General features: G+C 58.8%; 2 protein-coding genes across 7 annotated transcripts in view, besides 3 other annotated features; one reads left to right on the top strand and one right to left on the bottom strand.

Moving 5' to 3' along the window:
• Window positions 1-211: part of a silencer, noted in NCBI's record as "tiled region #21; HepG2 Repressive non-DNase unmatched - State 1:Tss", that runs on past the window's edge. NCBI's record gives its function as "represses a minimal TATA promoter and a strong SV40 promoter by Sharpr-MPRA in HepG2 cells {active_cell/tissue: HepG2}" and the evidence as "EXISTENCE:reporter gene assay evidence [ECO:0000049][PMID:27701403]".
• The window catches only part of DRC4 (dynein regulatory complex subunit 4), a 25,328-nt gene extending 24,289 nt beyond the window's left edge, over window positions 1-1,039 (bottom strand). For both annotated transcript variants that reach the window (NM_001286209.2, XM_011522992.3), the window contains exon 1: window positions 904-1,039. The gene's annotated coding sequence lies outside the window, so the exon portion shown is untranslated. The remainder of the gene's footprint in view (window positions 1-903) is intronic.
• Window positions 782-15,801, top strand: DBNDD1 (dysbindin domain containing 1). Of its 5 annotated transcripts, NM_001288708.2 has the most exons (5): window positions 782-944; window positions 8,976-9,088; window positions 11,242-11,388; window positions 11,748-11,888; window positions 14,180-15,801. In NM_001288708.2, the coding sequence occupies exons 2-5, from the start codon at window positions 9,058-9,060 to the stop codon at window positions 14,335-14,337; spliced, it is 477 nt and encodes a 158-aa protein (NP_001275637.1). In that variant the 5' UTR covers window positions 782-944; window positions 8,976-9,057; the 3' UTR covers window positions 14,338-15,801. The 5 variants fall into 5 exon arrangements, with proteins under 5 accessions (NP_001275637.1, NP_001275638.2, NP_001036075.1 ...); NM_001288709.2 differs by lacking the exon at window positions 8,976-9,088; NM_001042610.3 differs by lacking the exons at window positions 782-944; window positions 8,976-9,088 and adding an exon at window positions 1,216-1,361.
• Window positions 958-1,097: a silencer, noted in NCBI's record as "silent region_7936". NCBI's record gives its function as "represses an Ori minimal core promoter by ATAC-STARR-seq in GM12878 lymphoblastoid cells {active_cell/tissue: GM12878}" and the evidence as "EXISTENCE:reporter gene assay evidence [ECO:0000049][PMID:35858748]".
• Window positions 12,911-13,080: an enhancer, noted in NCBI's record as "experimental_46902 CRE fragment used in MPRA reporter constructs". NCBI's record gives its function as "activates a minimal promoter by MPRAs in K562 erythroleukemia cells, with activity observed for both the introgressed and non-introgressed 16:90074085 variant alleles {active_cell/tissue: K562}" and the evidence as "EXISTENCE:reporter gene assay evidence [ECO:0000049][PMID:34662402]".

Raw genomic sequence — 15,801 nt, 5'->3', positions numbered from 1 at the left:
CTCCCTGGGATCCCGACAGGGCCCACTGCGACCTGTTCTTTTCATATTGAATTCGAGTTCAGATTTTTAGAAAAGAGCCTTTTCTTCACATATGTGGCTTAAGATACTTTCATTCAGTGTCAAGCTGTGCAGCTCAGAAACCCAGATAAATGGCATCTGAGTTTCCTGCAAAATCCCAGAGCAAATGTTAATACAAACAAACCGACTGCCCTCTGTCTGATGTCTGATGCTTCCTGCCACCCACTATCCACCAGGTAAACCGCCTCAGGCCACGGCATCAACTCAGTGAAGGCCTGGATGCTGGGTTAACAAGAGTGTTTATGAAGACTAGACTTTTTCTTTTCTTTTCTTTTCTTTTTTTTTTTTGAGACATACAATCATAGCTCACGGCAGCCTTGGACTCCTGAGCTCAAGCTGTGCTCCCACCTCAGCCTCCCAAAGGGCTGGGATTACAGGCATGAGTCAATGCTCCTGCAAACGGACTTTCTTTGAGAGATAAATATTGAAGTACTTACAAATGCAATGATCTAATGTGTATATAATTTGCTTCAAAATGACCCAGCAGTGGAGGGAAGTGAATGAGGACAGAGAAGCAGTGGCCCAGGCCAGGAGCTGGCAATCGCTGAATCTGGGCGATAGGGACATGGGGGTCAGTTTCATCGAAACTGCCTTGGCGCTCTCTGCAGCCCGGGCCCGCCGCCCTCTCCTTACCTCCCATCCCCCATCCCGCCCCTTCCAGCCTCCCAAGCACACGCCCTCGCCCCCACCCGCCCCCCGCGTTAATTCGCGCCATCCAGGGCGCTCTGTGAGTCTGTCATTACCCAGCGCGAGTCAGGCCCCTCCTGTGCCCCTCGCCAGCCCCGAGGGGCGCCCGCACACAGTCGGCGCCCCACACGCAAGTACCTGGAAGAGAACAAGAGGACGCCAGCGGGCGCGGCCGCCAAGTGAGTGCGCAGGAGCCCCGGACGCCCGGCCGGGGTCGGGAGGGCGCAGCCAGGTCCCGGTGGTGTCCGCGGCGGGGCGCGGCCCGCGAGGGAAGGGTCGGCGGGGGAGGGGTCCGCTGGGCCAGGGGCCAGCAGGGGGCGCGCGCGGGCCGGGGCGGGGCCGCACCTGTCCTGCGGCTGGGGGGGCGCCGGGAGGGGGCCGGGGCCCGGGAGCAGCTGCGCGCCCCGCCCCGCCCCGCGGGCTCCTCCCTGCCGCCGCGGCCCCCCGGTTGCTGCCCCGATGCGCTGCGCCCGGAGCCGGGGCCGAGTCGCTGCCGCAGCTGTTGGGGCGCCCGGGCCAGGCGACGCCGCCGTCGCCCGTGCCCCTCCCAGACCGCACCGGCCGCATGGAGCCCCCGGAGGGCGCCGGCACCGGAGGTGAGTTCAGCCCCAGCCCCCGAGACCCCCGCGCAGCGCTTCCCCGCAGCGAGCCGCAGCCCCTCCCCCCAGGGCTCACCCTTCGCCGCTCCCGGGAGTCGCGAAGACCCCTTTGGCAGCTCGGGGTCGTCCGGCGGGCCAGGGGCACCTCCCGGGCGCGGTCCCCGCGCGGGGCTGGGGGCACACGGACCGAGTCTCCGCCCCCTTGTTCTCTGCGCTCCCGGCCCGGGAAGCCGTGCCCGGCACGCTCCTTGGTGGGTGGCCCGGAGTTTCGTCCTGAGCCCCCTCCCAGCCAAGCCAGCCGGTGACCCGGGGAGCGGGGGAGGGGGGTTCCGGGGCTGGAGTTTGGGGTCCCTGTCGGTGGGGCGTGAGGGCGACGCTGGCCGCTTGCAAGCGCGTCCGCTTTGTTCGCCCAGCCGCGAGTCCCGGGGGGCGAGGGCCGTAGACTCGCGGGCAGGGATCCTGCCAGGGGCGAGGGGCTGAGATGGGTCTTGGGGATGTGGGGCATGCACGGGCGCGGCCTGCCGGGGACTCCAGAGCTGCAAGGGTGGCTGGTCCGGGAGTGGCCCAGGCGCACGCTCATCGGGGAGGGTAGGTGCGCGTGGAGCGCTCCCTGCCCTGATGGTGGAGGCCCTACTGCAGGACCTTGGAGTCGGTAACGGGAAGAAAGCTCTCAGAACCTCCCCCCTTCCCGATCAGAGACTTTTCCAAAAGGGCTTTCGGGGTTCCATTTGCCTAGGTAGGAACTTGGATGCAAACTGCAGACTCCTCCACCTGCCCAGCCAAGCCCACCACCTCCTGGTTTCCTAGAGCTCCCATTCCAGGGAGCCAGCAGGTGCCTGAGGGCACAGGCAGGCCAGCCTGCCGCTCTGGAACTACATGGGAACCTCTCAGTCCCCCAGCCGCACACAGTGGCATCCTCTGGAGCCCGAAGGGCTGTCCCCGGGAGGAGCAGGTCCACCCACCCTGTGTATCTGCAGTCCAAGGTATAGGGACAAATGCCCCAGGGCTGGTGGGTTTGGGTTTTGATTTGTCATTTGTGGGAGGGACCAGAGCTCTTTCTTAACACTGATAGTCCCAGGCTCCTGGGTATTCCCAGTAGCAGCTTTGTGGACATAGGAAGCCTGGAGGTTGGGAGTGAGGGCTTGGGGGTCTCCGAGCTGTTTCCAGCTGTGAACTGTGGGCAGTCAGGCCCCTGTGAGCCTCAATTTCCATTTCTGTCAGTGGAGACAGTTCTGCTTCCCCTGCAGGGCTGTGGGAGCCCAAGGCATTTGGGAGTGGAGGTTAATATGTTTTCCCTCCTCCTTTGGGAAAAAAGGAGGACTTCCCAGCAGCTTAAAAGGCAGAGAAAGCAGGTTCAGTTTCTGAGCCCATCAGTCACTGGCTGGGGGCTTCAGACACCTGACTCAATCAGTGCACAGGTATTTACCTACAGGTCGCAGCTCTGTGCAGTACCCTGCCTGGGGTGGGGAGTTAGTGGGAAGACAGGGCCCTGTCCTCTGAGGGCTCACGCTCTTGACACCAACTCCTGTTTCCTTGTCTGCAAAGTGGCCAGTGATGCCTACTTTGTGGAACCTCATGAGATCACACATTGGTGACTCTGTCATTACTTATCACTTACTTTTGAAAACCTTACAAAAGTAGAGAGAACGGCGGGACAAAGGCCCATGTGTGACATCCCAGCCCCCAGGCCCACAGCCTCCTCTCCAGACTACCACCAACCTCCCTTCATTAGTGGTTTGAACCAAATCTAGACATATTATTTCACTGATAAATAATTCAGAAATATCTGTAAAATATGATTTTTTTTTTTTTTGAGACGGAGTCTCGCTCTGTTGCCCAGGCCGGAGTGCAGTGGCGCGATCTCGGCTCACTGCAACCTCCACCTCCCGGGTTCACGCCATTCTCCTGCCTCAGCCTCCCCAGTGGCTGGGACTACAGGCGCCCGCCACCACACCTGGCTGATTTTTTGTACTTTTAGTAGAGACGGGGTTTCACTGTGTTAGCCAGGATGATCTCGATCTCCTGACCTCATGACCCACCCGCCTCGGCCTCCCAAAGTGCTGGGATTACAGGCGTCAGCCACCATGCCCGGCAAAATAGGATTTTTATAAAGCATTATTAAAACACTATTTTTGCAACTAAAGGAATTAATGATTTCTTAATATGAAATGTACAGAACACGGAGGTGCACGTGTGCACAGGAATGTGACCTGTGCCCTCTCTGAGGGCCCCACCTGGAAGCCAGGGCTGTAACCCACCCCAACTCAGTCTGCCCAAGGGTCCACAGGGACAGAGGGATCCTCAGGAGGCTGAGAGTCTAGACACGGCCACTCCAGCATCCCTGAAATACTTTGGGGGTCCAAATCCAGAGAGGAAGGTGCTGGGGGATGGGGGGCAGGTGGCCCCTGCCTCTGCGACCATCTCTCCTTCCAGCCATTTAGTTTTATGATATTCATTCATTCACTTCATTAGCTCATCCGTCCATACAGTGGTGTGTGCCAAGTGCCTCCTCGATGCTCTGGACGGGGCCCTGGGCACACAACAGGGAACAGGATTTGGGCCAAGTTTCCCAGTCGAGAATGTGCTGGAAAATAGGTCAGCAGCAGAGCACAGGGCATCAGCAATCAGCCCTCAGGGAAGCCTGGGGGGCCGGGCTGAGGCACCCCAACTCCTGGCTCCCTCGCTGAGGTGCTCCTTCAGTGCCCACTCATCAGCGAGGGCACCAGCAGCCCCTGCAGGGGGGTTGGGTCCCCCTTGATAGGGGCTGTGCTGGGGTAAGGACCAGAACATTGCTGTGTCCCCACACTCTGGGGTCCTTCCTGGGACATCAGAAACACCTGCTTGCCTCTGCCCTGGCCCTGGAGACCTTGGGGGCTGCCAGCACCCGCCCCCATGCCTGCCTGGCATTGAGCCTCTGGTTCCCACCCTGGGAAAAGCAGCAGGTCTCGCCCGTGAGGAATTTTCTTCTTCCTACAAGCTTGTTGAGAGGGTGTCAGACAGGCCTGGGTGATTCCTAGCGCAGTCCCTCACTAACCGTGGGCTAGTTGATTCACCCTCATTTGTTTACTGCGCACCTACTGTGCGCTAGGTCCCAGGAATGCAGCCATGAACTAGATACAAGCCGCTTAGAGCTGATGCTTCTCGCTCTACCCAGTCCCAGCCTGCTCTGGGGCTGTGCCTGGGGGTCTGGCGTGTGGCCGACTCACAGTGTATGTGAGTCTCTGTCATTTCCTCCCGGCTTTGCCTATCAGTTCCAGCCAAGATCAACCTTTGTTTCCATTGAGGATTGTTTTTAAATTGAGATATTATTCACATATAAAGTTCACCCTTTTAAAGTGTACAACTCACTGTTTCAGTATATTCACAAAATTGTGCAGTCACCACCACTATCTAATTTTATAATATCTTCATTACCCCCCCAGAAAGAAACCCATACCCGTTCTCCCCTTCTCCACTGCCCACCCCCCAGCCTCTGACGATCACTGATGGAATGTCTACGCGCTTGCCTATTCTGGACATTTCCTAGGAACGGCGTCACACAGCATTTGTCCTTTTGGGCCTGGCTTCCTTCACTCGAATGAGGTGATCAGGCTCATGCATGTGATATCCGGTGTCAGTACCGCCGTCCTTCTTGGGTTGAATCTCACTCCATGGTAGGCACAGACCACATTCTGTTTATCCATTGATCCACTGAGGACATTGGATTATTTCCACTTTTGGCTACTGTGAATCACGCTATGAACATGCATGTGCAGCTGACTCTTGAACAACGTTAAGTGTTAGGGGTGCCCACCTCCCTCAAAGTCAGAAATCCACATAGAACTTTTCACTCCCCAAAAACTTAACTGCTAATAGCCTACTGTTGACCAGAACTTTACTGATATGGTCAACGAACACATATCTGTATGCTGCATGTATTACACAGTAGGCTCAGTCATTTGAGGACCCACGAGCATGCCTTATAGCAGCTGCACGCTCTTCATGCCAAGATCCATCGTGCCCCTCCTGGGGGCTCAGGTCTTGTCCCTGGTATCACATTCTTCTGGCCAAAAAATTCGTGTCCTGATGGCAGAAGCTGCATCTTCCAAATTTTCCTTCCCCAAAGCCCCAACACAGACCACGGCACCAGACTTTACAGAATAAAGACCAGGCCAAAGGGAGATGGGGAAGGACCAGACTAGACACCTGGTGGCTTCAAATGCTTACAGGACTGGATCTCATCAACGCTGACACCATCAGCTACAGATGTGTTGCTGTCTCAAGAATGTGGAAATAAGAAAAGATGCTTTTTTTTTTTTTTTTGAAACAAGAGTCTCGTTCTGTCGCCCAGGCTGGAGTGCAGTGGCATGATCTCTGCTCACTGCAAACTCCACCTCCTAGGTTCAAGCGAGTCTCCTGCCTCAGCCTCCTGAGTAGCTGGGACTACAGGCACGTACCACCACACCGGCTAATTTTTGTATTTTTAGTAGAGACGGGGTTTCGCCATGTTGGCCCAGACTGGTCTCGAACTCCTGGCCTCAAGTGATCCGCCCGCCTTGGCCTCCCAAAGTGCTGGGATTACAGGCGTGAGCCACCGCGCCCGGCCGAAAGGATACTTCTTAAGAGTCAACTATGATATTCATTCCACACAGGGCTGCTGTGAAGCTTCCACAGGGCTAGAGCTTTGTCCCAGAAGCTGTCTGTAGCCCCTTGGGACCCCAGGATCTATAATGAGGACTGCTGGCATTCGCATGCCCCCTCTCCAGTGCAAGATGGGGAAGGGGATTGCTGTTTGGCTGAGGTCCTGCTTGGGACCTCCATCTCAGCACAAGCAGAGGGTGCCTGCAGACTTACCTCCCTCTGGACTGTGCCCTTGCTGGCCTCGTCGTAAAAATGCAGGTATTGGCCCGGCACGGTGGCTCACACCTATAATCCCAGCACTTTGGGAGGCCAAGGCGGGCGGATCATGAGGTCAGGAGTTCAAGACCAGCCTGGCCAACAGGGAGAAACCCCATCTCTACTAAAGATACAAAAATTAGCCAGGCATGGTGGCGCACGCCTGTAATCCCAGCTACTTGGGAGGCTGAGGCAAGAGGATCCCTTGAACCCAGGAGGTGGAGTTTGCAGTGAGCAGAGATCGCGCCATTGCCCTCCAGCCTGGTGACAGAGCGAGACTCCATCTCAAAAAAAAAATAATAATAATAATAATTTAAAAATTCAGGTAGATGCTGTCCCACTCCATTCAAAACCCTTCAACGGCTTCTCTCAGCTTACTCAGTATAGAAACCAAAGTCCTGACGATCTCCACACGACCTGCACACACCACCCCTGCCCTGCCTCACAGCCCCCAGCTGTCCTCAAATGCACTCTGCTCAGGCCTTTATGCATGTCCCCCCCCGCCCCACCCAGTATCACACGGCTCCCTCCCACCTCCAGGCTCCTCCTCCAAGTTTGGTAGAGCACCCTCCCCAGATGCCCCCTAAAATGGGAGCACAGCCCCGCACTGCTCACTGGCACTGGCCGTCCCTCAGAAGGGCAGGAATCATCTATTTTGTCTATGCCATGTCCCCAGAACAGAGGGTGATTCGGAAGTCTTGGTTGGGTGAATGAATGAATCAGAGCCTTCGTCTAGATGAGGGGCCCCGCCCAGTGAGAGGGGGACTACAAGGGGAGACGCCACCTCTGTCCCACCTTCCTTCAGAGATCCACGTCCCCCCAGGTCAGGACCCAGGGAACCTAAGCCAGCAAGTGGGGACTTCCTGCTCCCTCTGCTGGGCCCTGAACCGGGATCCCTGGTTCCCATCTCCACGCCATGATCAGGAACAGGCTGACAGGTGATGGCTGAGAGCTCCAGCTGCGTCCCTGGCCAGCCCTGTGCTGCATGCTGGGGACAGACGCTGAGCTGCTCTGTGCCTCAGCTTCCTCCTCTCAAGTACAAAGCTCAGAGTCTTCCCCATGTAGCTGGGAGTTAGGGTGAGGTGAGAATGGAGTTAGTCAATAAACACAGAATGCTGGGACTGTACTAGAAAACCATAAGCCACTGTCTTTTTTTTTTTTTTTTTTTTTAAGGCAAGGTTTCGCTCTGTTGCTCAAGCTGGATGGCACGATCACAGCTCACTGCATTCTTGACTTCCTGGGTTTCAGGCGGACCTCCTGCCTCAGCTTCCCGAGTAGCTGCCACACAGGTGTGCACCACCACACCTAGCTGTCATTATTAACACAGAACCACCTGCCCCACCTGCCTCTGAGGGTGCTGTCCCCAGAGATTCTCTGCAGAACTACTCTGGCCCCAGGTTTCCTTGATATTAGGGGGCTGCCAGAGAGGAGGGGGTGGGAGGCCAGGGTGTATGATCGCTTGAACCCAGGAGTTCGAGACCAGCCTGGGCAACATGGCAAGACCCTGTCTCTACCAAAAAAATTTTAATTAGCCAGGAGTGGTGGTCCCAGCTACTCAGGAGGCTGAAGTGGGAGGATCGCTTGAGCCCAAGAGGTTGAGGCTGCAGTGAGCTATGGTTTTACCACTGCACTCCAGCCTGGGCAACAGTGAGACCTTGTCTCTTGAGAGAGAGAGGCCAGGTGCGGTGGCTCATGCCTGTAATGCCAGCACTTTGGGAGGCCGAGGCAGACGGATCACCTGAGGTCAGGAGTTTGAGACCAGCCTGACCAACATGGAGAAACCCCATCTCTACTAAAAATACAGAATTAGCTGGGCATGGTGGCTCATGCCTGTAATCCCAGCTACTCGGAAGGCTGACGCAGGAGAATCGCTTGAACCCAGGAGGCGGAGGTTTTGATGAGCCAAGATCACGCCATTGCACTCCAGCCTGGGCAACAAGAACGAAACTCCATCTCAAAAAAAAAAAAGAGAGAGGAGAGGAGGGGGTGCCCCTCAGGACAGAAGGAGGGGCGGGGAGGGACAGAGGTGGAGCTGACAGCTACACCCCAGAGTGCTGCTCTGGGGTAAGGGTGTCCATGGAGTTCATGCCTGGCCTGTAAACCTGGGGAGGTAAGAGCCCCTGTAGCCTTCCTCAGCTGGGGATCCTGAGAGCAGGGCCTCCTGGCCGGTGACGTACATCCCTGCACCTTGGTTCCCCACTCGTACCTGCTCTCAGGGCTCTGGGTCAGCCATGCCAGAGGGACAGCGCCTGCTCTGTCCTGGACCTGGCAGGTCTGAGGCCCCTGCCGCACCCTCAGGGCCGGCTGCAGCACCCTCCTGAGACTCGAGGCTAGGACAGGGCTACGCCCTCTGCAGCCACGGCCACTGCTCTGAGCTGTGTGGAAGCATTTTGGAATTGTGACCACAGCACAGTCCAGCAGGACATGAACACACTGTGGGCGGGGGCCTGGGGCTTTGGTCTACACTGTCTCTCCTTGAGGAAGGGCCCAAGGGCCAGGCTGGGTCTCCTGGAGTCCCCTCTCCTGGGCACCCCCTCAGCGCTATGGACAATGGTCAAGCAGGCTTCTTCCTGCTGGTGTCCGGGAGGTCCCCCTGCTCACAGCCTTAGAACAGAGTCCACATCTCACCCCCTGTCCCCTGTGCCCTCTGGGCGGAGAGGTATCCCTGCTGGGCTTGGGGGTGGGCCAGGACACCAGTAACTTGACCCTTTAGGATGCTCAGAAACCTCATTCCAGATGCCAGTGGAAAGGTGGAAACCAGATTCCGCGAGAGCCCCGTCCAGCCCGCCCAACCCCCAGGCCTGAAACGGGCCATGCCATGACACAGCACTCGGCTTCTCAGACAGGAGGCAGGTGGGCCACACAGAATGACCACACGGCCGACGGGGCGAGGGGACACTGTCAGGCCACAGGGCTGCCCCCAGGCACAGCCTAACACTCGGCTCGCTGCCAGGCCACCTGCCCACAACCACACTGCCCAGCTCTTAAGCCACTGGGGACCTCCCAGCCCTGCACCGGTGCCCCTCACTCAGGAGGCCGGGCACCTGCGGGCCTCAGCTCCCTTGGCTCTGCTGGGGAGGGGTGGGGGTGCACCGGGACGGACGCTCCAGGCCCACCTGGCAGTATCTAGGCTGCCAGCTAGTGCCACGGGGGAGGACAGGCCCACCCCTCACAGGCAGCTGCTGGCGCTGTGAACCCCAGCTGCAGCCCCCTCAGCAAGAGCCTCATGGCAGCAGCTGCTCCCCTCGGCTTCAAGCACACCCAGCTACGATCAGTGCTCACCGCTGGGGGCTGCCAAAAATACCCCACAGGGTCCTCAGGGTGCTGCTGGCAGCAACGGGAAGGCACCTATCCATCTGACAAGCGTGCGCTGGGCACCCACTCAGGTGGGAGGTGCTGGTGTCCCCAGAAGGCCCCTGCCATGCAGGGTCCAGGAAGCAGCTGAGGGAAGGAGGGCCATCTGGAAACAGGTTCCTGCAGGGGCAATGGGTGGGGGGAAGGAAGCCAGCGCTTTGTCTCTTCCCTGAGAGATAGACCCACAGGGCCTAGGGCCAAAGGGGGGCATGCACCCAGGGACAGGCCTGACTCTGACTAACAGGACTCACTGGCTGCCTGAGGCAAGTGAGGTGGCCGCTAGGACGGCGTGGCCCTGGATGAGAGGGTGAGCAGCTGAGGAGGGGCTGAGGGGATCTGTGGAGGGATGGACATAAGACTCGCCAATGTCCCCGGCTTTGGGTCAGCAGCCAAGGGGCCTCCTGCTCTCATCTGACAAAACAATTGTTAAGTATATAAAAGAAACAGTTGGGCCAGGCACGGTGGCTCATGCCTATAATCTCAGCACTTTGGGAGGCCAAGGCGGGTGGATCACGAGTAAAAATACAAAAAAAAAAAAAAAAAATTAGCTGGGTGTGGTGGCGGGCACCTGTAGTCCCAGCTACTAAGGAGGCTGAGGCAGGAGAATCGCTTGAACCCGTGAGGTGGAGACTGCAATGAGCCGAGATCGCGCCACTGCACTCCAGCCTGGTGACAGAGCGAGACTCTGTCTCAAAAAAAAAAAAAAAAAAAGGTAGTTACGTTTGTGAAAAAAAATGAGGCCAGGCTCGGTGGCTCACACCTTGTAATCCTAGCACTTTGGGAGGCTGAGGCGGGCGGATCACCTGAGGTCAGGAGTTCAGCCTGGCCAACATGGTGAAACCCCGTCTCTACTAAAAATACAAAAATTAGCCGGGCGTGCTGGTGCATGCCTGTAATCCCATCTACTCAGGGGGATGAGGCAGGAGAATCGCTCAAACCCAAGGGGCAGAGGTTGCAGTGAGCCGAGATTGCACCACTGCACTCCAGCCTGGGTGACAGAGCGAGACTCCATCTAAAAAAAATAAATAAACATGGGAGAAACCTGGAAGAATATTTGCTCAACTGTGAGGCATGGTTGGTGGCTAAGGGATCACAGAATGGCAGGCCTGCCTATTCCTCCTGGTTTGTAACTTTCATTTAATGAGAATGTATTATTCTGAACTCAAATACGACATCAGTTTTTAAAAGGAAAAGTCAGTCCACAGTGGAGAGGGGCTGTTCTGGTTTGAAGGGGACCAAGAGGCTGGACATGGAAATCCATGGGCGATCCTTCAGGGGACCCTGGGCCGAGCTAGAAATCAGAGGCCAGGACGGCACTGGAATGCAGCCACGCGGGCCCTGGTGGGACTTCCACGCCTGCATGGTCGGCTTTCATGGGTGCTTGCGTACCAAAGGTGATCTGGATCTCAGATTCCTTGTTCACTAGGGGAGGCCAGGGCCCAAGGGGAAGGAGCAGCCTCCTTGAAGCCCCTCAACCCCTTGTCTGGGTCCAGGCATGAGGCCACAAGCCCAGCCATCCCATCACCTGCTGGTCACTGCCCAGAGTTTCAAAGGACTGGATGTGCCAAGTCCTCACACCCAGCCCCGCGTCCTGGGGGGATGTGGGAGCCCTGTGGATCTCAAGGTGACACTGTGTCTTTGGATGCAGAGATCGTTAAGGAGGCTGAGGTGCCGCAGGCTGCGCTGGGCGTCCCAGCCCAGGGGACAGGGGACAATGGCCACACGCCTGTGGAGGAGGAGGTCGGGGGCATCCCAGTACCAGCACCGGGGCTCCTGCAGGTCACGGAGAGGAGGCGTAAGTACTGCTCCCTGCCCAGCGCACGCTATGGGGACCCCGTGAGCTCCCCCAAGAGACAAGGCAGCAGGGTCCACCTCCTGTCCAAACACTCCCTGGGGGGTCTAGGTCCGGCGCTGTGTGCTAGGCTCTTGCAGCTCTGGTTCTCTGAGCCTCAGCTGCACCATCTGTCAAGTGAAAGCCTTCTAGTCATGAGTATACGCAACACTCATCAGATCCTGCCGGTGTGGGCTTTGCAGGAAGCTGTGGTTCACCCACAGCCTTGTGGGAGGACACAGCACACTCTCTCCTAGACCCCCGGGGCTCTGAGCAGCCTTGTGGGAGGGCCTGAGGGCTGACTGTACCCCCTCTGCCCTCAGAGCCTCTGAGCAGCGTCTCCTCTCTGGAGGTCCACTTCGACCTCCTGGACCTCACTGAGCTCACCGACATGTCGGACCAGGAGCTGGCCGAGGTCTTTGCTGACTCGGACGACGAGAACCTCAACACCGAGTCCCCAGCAGGTGAGGCCGGCATCAGGGCTGGGCTGGGAGGTGTGCCTGGTGGGCTGAGGCCCCTTGGGAAGTCCTGGGAGGTGTGTGTGGTGGGCTGAGGGCCCTTGGGACGTCCTGGGAGGTGTGTTTGGGGGGTGAGGCCCCTTGGGACGTCCTGGGAGGTGTGGGTGGTGGGCTGAGGCCCCTTGGGAAGTCCTGAGAGGTGTGCGTGGTGGGCTGAGGCCCCTTGGGAAGTCCTGGGAGGTGTGTTTGGGGGGTGAGGCCCCTTGGGACGTCCTGGGAGGTGTGGGTGGTGGGCTGAGGCCCCTTGGGAAGTCCTGGGAGGTGTGTTTGGGGGGTGAGGCCCCTTGGGACATCCTGGGAGGTGTGGGTGGTGGGCTGAGGCCCCTTGGGACGTCCTGGGAGGTGTGGGTGGTGGGCTGAGGCCCCTTGGGAAGTCCTGGGAGGTGTGCGTGGTGGGCTGAGGCCCCTTGGGAAGTCCTGGGAGGTGTGTTTGGGGGGTGAGGCCCCTTGGGACGTCCTGGGAGGTGTGGGTGGTGGGCTGAGGCCCCTTGGGAAGTCCTGGGAGGTGTGTTTGGGGGGTGAGGCCCCTTGGGACATCCTGGGAGGTGTGGGTGGTGGGCTGAGGCCCCTTGGGACGTCCTGGGAGGTGTGCGTGGTGGGCTGAGGCCCCTTGGGACGTCCTGGGAGGTGTGTGTGGTGGGCTGAGGCCCCTTGGGACGTCCTGGGAGGTGTGTGTGGTGGGCTGAGGCCCCTTGGGACGTCCTGGGAGGTGTGTTTGGGGGGTGAGGCCCCTTGGGACGTCCTGGGAGGTGTGTTTGGGGGGTGAGGCCCCTTGGGAAGTCCTGGGAGGTGTGTTTGGGGGGTGAGGCCCCTTGGGACGTCCTGGGAGGTGTGGGTGGTGGGCTGAGGCCCCTTGGGAAGTCCTGGGAGGTGTGCGTGTGTTTTAGCAAGAATCCCTCAGCACTTCATTTCACCACGCTGCTATCTGCCCAACTTGAAGCAACTTCCCCGTCACAGCTGCTTAAAACTTTACTTTTCAAGTGAGCAACAGACGGCTAAAGCCACTGTCCCCTCAAAAGCAGAATTTAATGAATGTGAATTTTCATCATAAAATGGGCCAAGAACGAAAGGTGGGGGTGGTCACCAGCCCGGGCCCCTCCTCAGCTCACTTAACTTCCTCTGATTCCCACGGGAGCGTTGCCATTGGCCTGAAGGCAGCTCCAGTGTCCTCACACTGCCGAGCAGGGCCCCCAGCACGGCCATTGTCGTGTCTCCTTCCTAAGCCGTGACGAGAGCACAGGACTCATGAGGATGCGACAGCGCGTCCTCAGTCTCTGACAGTGACCAGTGAAGGACACTGACGTGACCTGTGTGAACTTCAGTAACTGTGAGAGCATCAGGGCCGAGCCTTCTCCGCATGGGACAGTTTGGCCCAGCCTCTGCTTCCCAACCCCCCAGGCCACTCAGGACCTCATTAAAAGGACCAGCCCCACTGTGACTCCTGCCGGTGGCCAGCTGCTCCCATGGTTCCTGGAGTTGTCAGGAAGGGGTGTCGGCCTGTGTGTCCCAGGCTGCTGCAGCCCCAGGTGTCTGGGAGGGAATGGGGCCTCATGAGTCAGCCCCCAGCTCACCTCCAGGACAAGGCCATTGCCTGACCCTGGCCAGTTCCCACCAGCTCCATGTTGGCGGCAACCCTTCCCACCCAGCCCGTGAGCCCAGGCATGGCTGTTGTGGCTGGGGAGGTGGAGTGAGGGGCTCAGACTCCAGCCCACCCGAATCCCCAGCCCCACAGAGCCTGCACCGGGGACTCACAAGGCCCATGATGGGGCAGAGGCTCCAAGAGGCCGGGGACACACAAGGCCCATGATGGGGCAGAGGCTCCAAGAGGCCGGGGACACACAAGGCCCATGATGGGGCAGAGGCTCCAAGAGGCCTGCAGGGCTCATGGAGGGTGGTTGGCTGAGGTGGGACACCTGCGGGGGGAACAGTTTAGGGAGGCCCCACCAGGGTCACTTAATGACCAAACAGGAGAGGCTCAGCCTAGACTATACAGTGACTCCGGGGAGCACCAGAAAAGACCCTGCCCAGGCCCCACCCAGACCACAACATCCACCTCTCTGGTGGGGCCAGTGTGTGGTGGGGGCCTCCCGTTAGAGGTAGATGTGTGCATGCCTGGTGCAGGGGGCTGGTGCAGAGCATTGGCAGGAGTGGCGCAGGAGGCCGGCGGCACCTGGAGCTCCGCAGCATCCACCCAGGCCTCTCAGCCACACCGAGTTCCCCTTCCCGCATGCCCCTAGGTCTGCACCCGCTGCCCCGGGCCGGCTACCTGCGCTCCCCTTCCTGGACGAGGACAAGGGCTGAGCAGAGCCACGAGAAGCAGCCCCTAGGCGACCCCGAGCGGCAGGCCACAGTCCTGGACACGTTTCTCACTGTGGAGAGGCCCCAGGAGGACTAGACCATCTCCACCTGCCCCAGCTCCTGCAGGGATGGGGTCCGAACACGATGGCAGATCTGGGCAGTGCTGACCCAGCAGACACACTTCACCCGCCCACGAGGCTCCAGCCGTCACCTCCTGACACACACCCTGGGGGCAGCTCTCTGCCAGCCCCGAGACCGGCCTTGTCTGCTGGGCACGGGTCTTCGCCTCACTTGGAGACCAGCCGGCTTTCCTGGGGGACACACGGGGCCCCCGGATGCCTCTGGGAGCCCCAGCACAAGCACAGCCCAGTGGCCTTACGTCCAGCTCGTTCCTGGGCCCCGAGTCAGGAAGACAGCGTCACGGAGTCACTGCCAGGAACGTGCTGAGGAATGGAGTGGCCCACGGCGGCCTTGGGGTGAAGGGGACCCAGGCCTGTGACAGCCACTCCAGGAACTCCTGGGGGTGCTCCAACCTCCGCGTTTTCCTGTGCTGCCAAGCTCAGAAGCCAGAGGCGGGTTTGGTAGTGGCTAATGGGACAATGTGCTGTCCAGCAAAGCACACATGGAGAAGCGGCCCCAAAATTCCCACCTTGATTTCCATCCTGCCCCTTCTTCTACTCCACGGAGGCGCTGTCTCACTAGGGTCCCCTCCCCAAGGCTCAGCTCTAAGACCTGCACCTGCTTCTCTTGGCCCCTGCGTGACAGACAAGTCCATTCCCTCCTTAGCTCAGAACACCAAATATCACCAGACTGCCTAAGAGACTTGATGACACCTCCCGGAATGCTCTCGGGGTGGGGTTCACCTCTCCTTGTCCTGCACCCACTGCTAGGCCACATTCTCGTTTCTGCTCACATCCCATTGCCCGGCTACAAGGCCTGCCCACGGCCCTTAAACTTGCTGGGCAGGTTTGGAGCCCATGGGACCCCGTGGGTCTCTGTCCAGGAGCAGCAGAGGAGGCTGACAGGCCCTGCTCCCTCTGCTCTGGGGGTGTCTGGGAGCCCCAGCTCACACCCTCCCAATGCTTATATGCTGAAGCTCACAGAATGGGCTTCTTGCCTGACAGCAAGTCAAAGAATGAGTTTAATATCAAAGTGTAAGCTTACTTTCCATCCCCAAGCCAGCCTGCCCCCTGCCCCATTTCCCATGAGCACACTTCTGGGGAAGGAAAACAGGCTCCTGGCCTTCACTCTCAGCAGAGCTTTGGAGATGCCCCAGGCATGCCCTGAGCTCCTTCTGTGTACCTGCTCCCACTTCTGAGCCACCCGCTGCCCCTCCGCACTGCTGGCAAACCCAGTTCCTGCCTCAGCCAGGTCTCCTTCCCTGGTTTCCAGTCACACAGAGCCCAGCAGCTTTCTCTTTCAGTCCCATAAGGGCAGCCTTGTGTCCCTGGCCACACTTCCACCCGCCAGGGTCTTCCTCCCCATCTTTCCATCCTTCCTGCTGAGCTTCCACAGAGCTCGTTTGCAAACAGGGGGATTAAAGCATCACTGCGCATTCGAA

The sequence above is a fragment of the Homo sapiens genome, chromosome 16, assembly GCF_000001405.40.
Source record: "Homo sapiens chromosome 16, GRCh38.p14 Primary Assembly".
NCBI lineage: Eukaryota > Metazoa > Chordata > Mammalia > Primates > Hominidae > Homo > Homo sapiens.
This window is presented reverse-complemented; position numbering and strand designations above follow the sequence as displayed.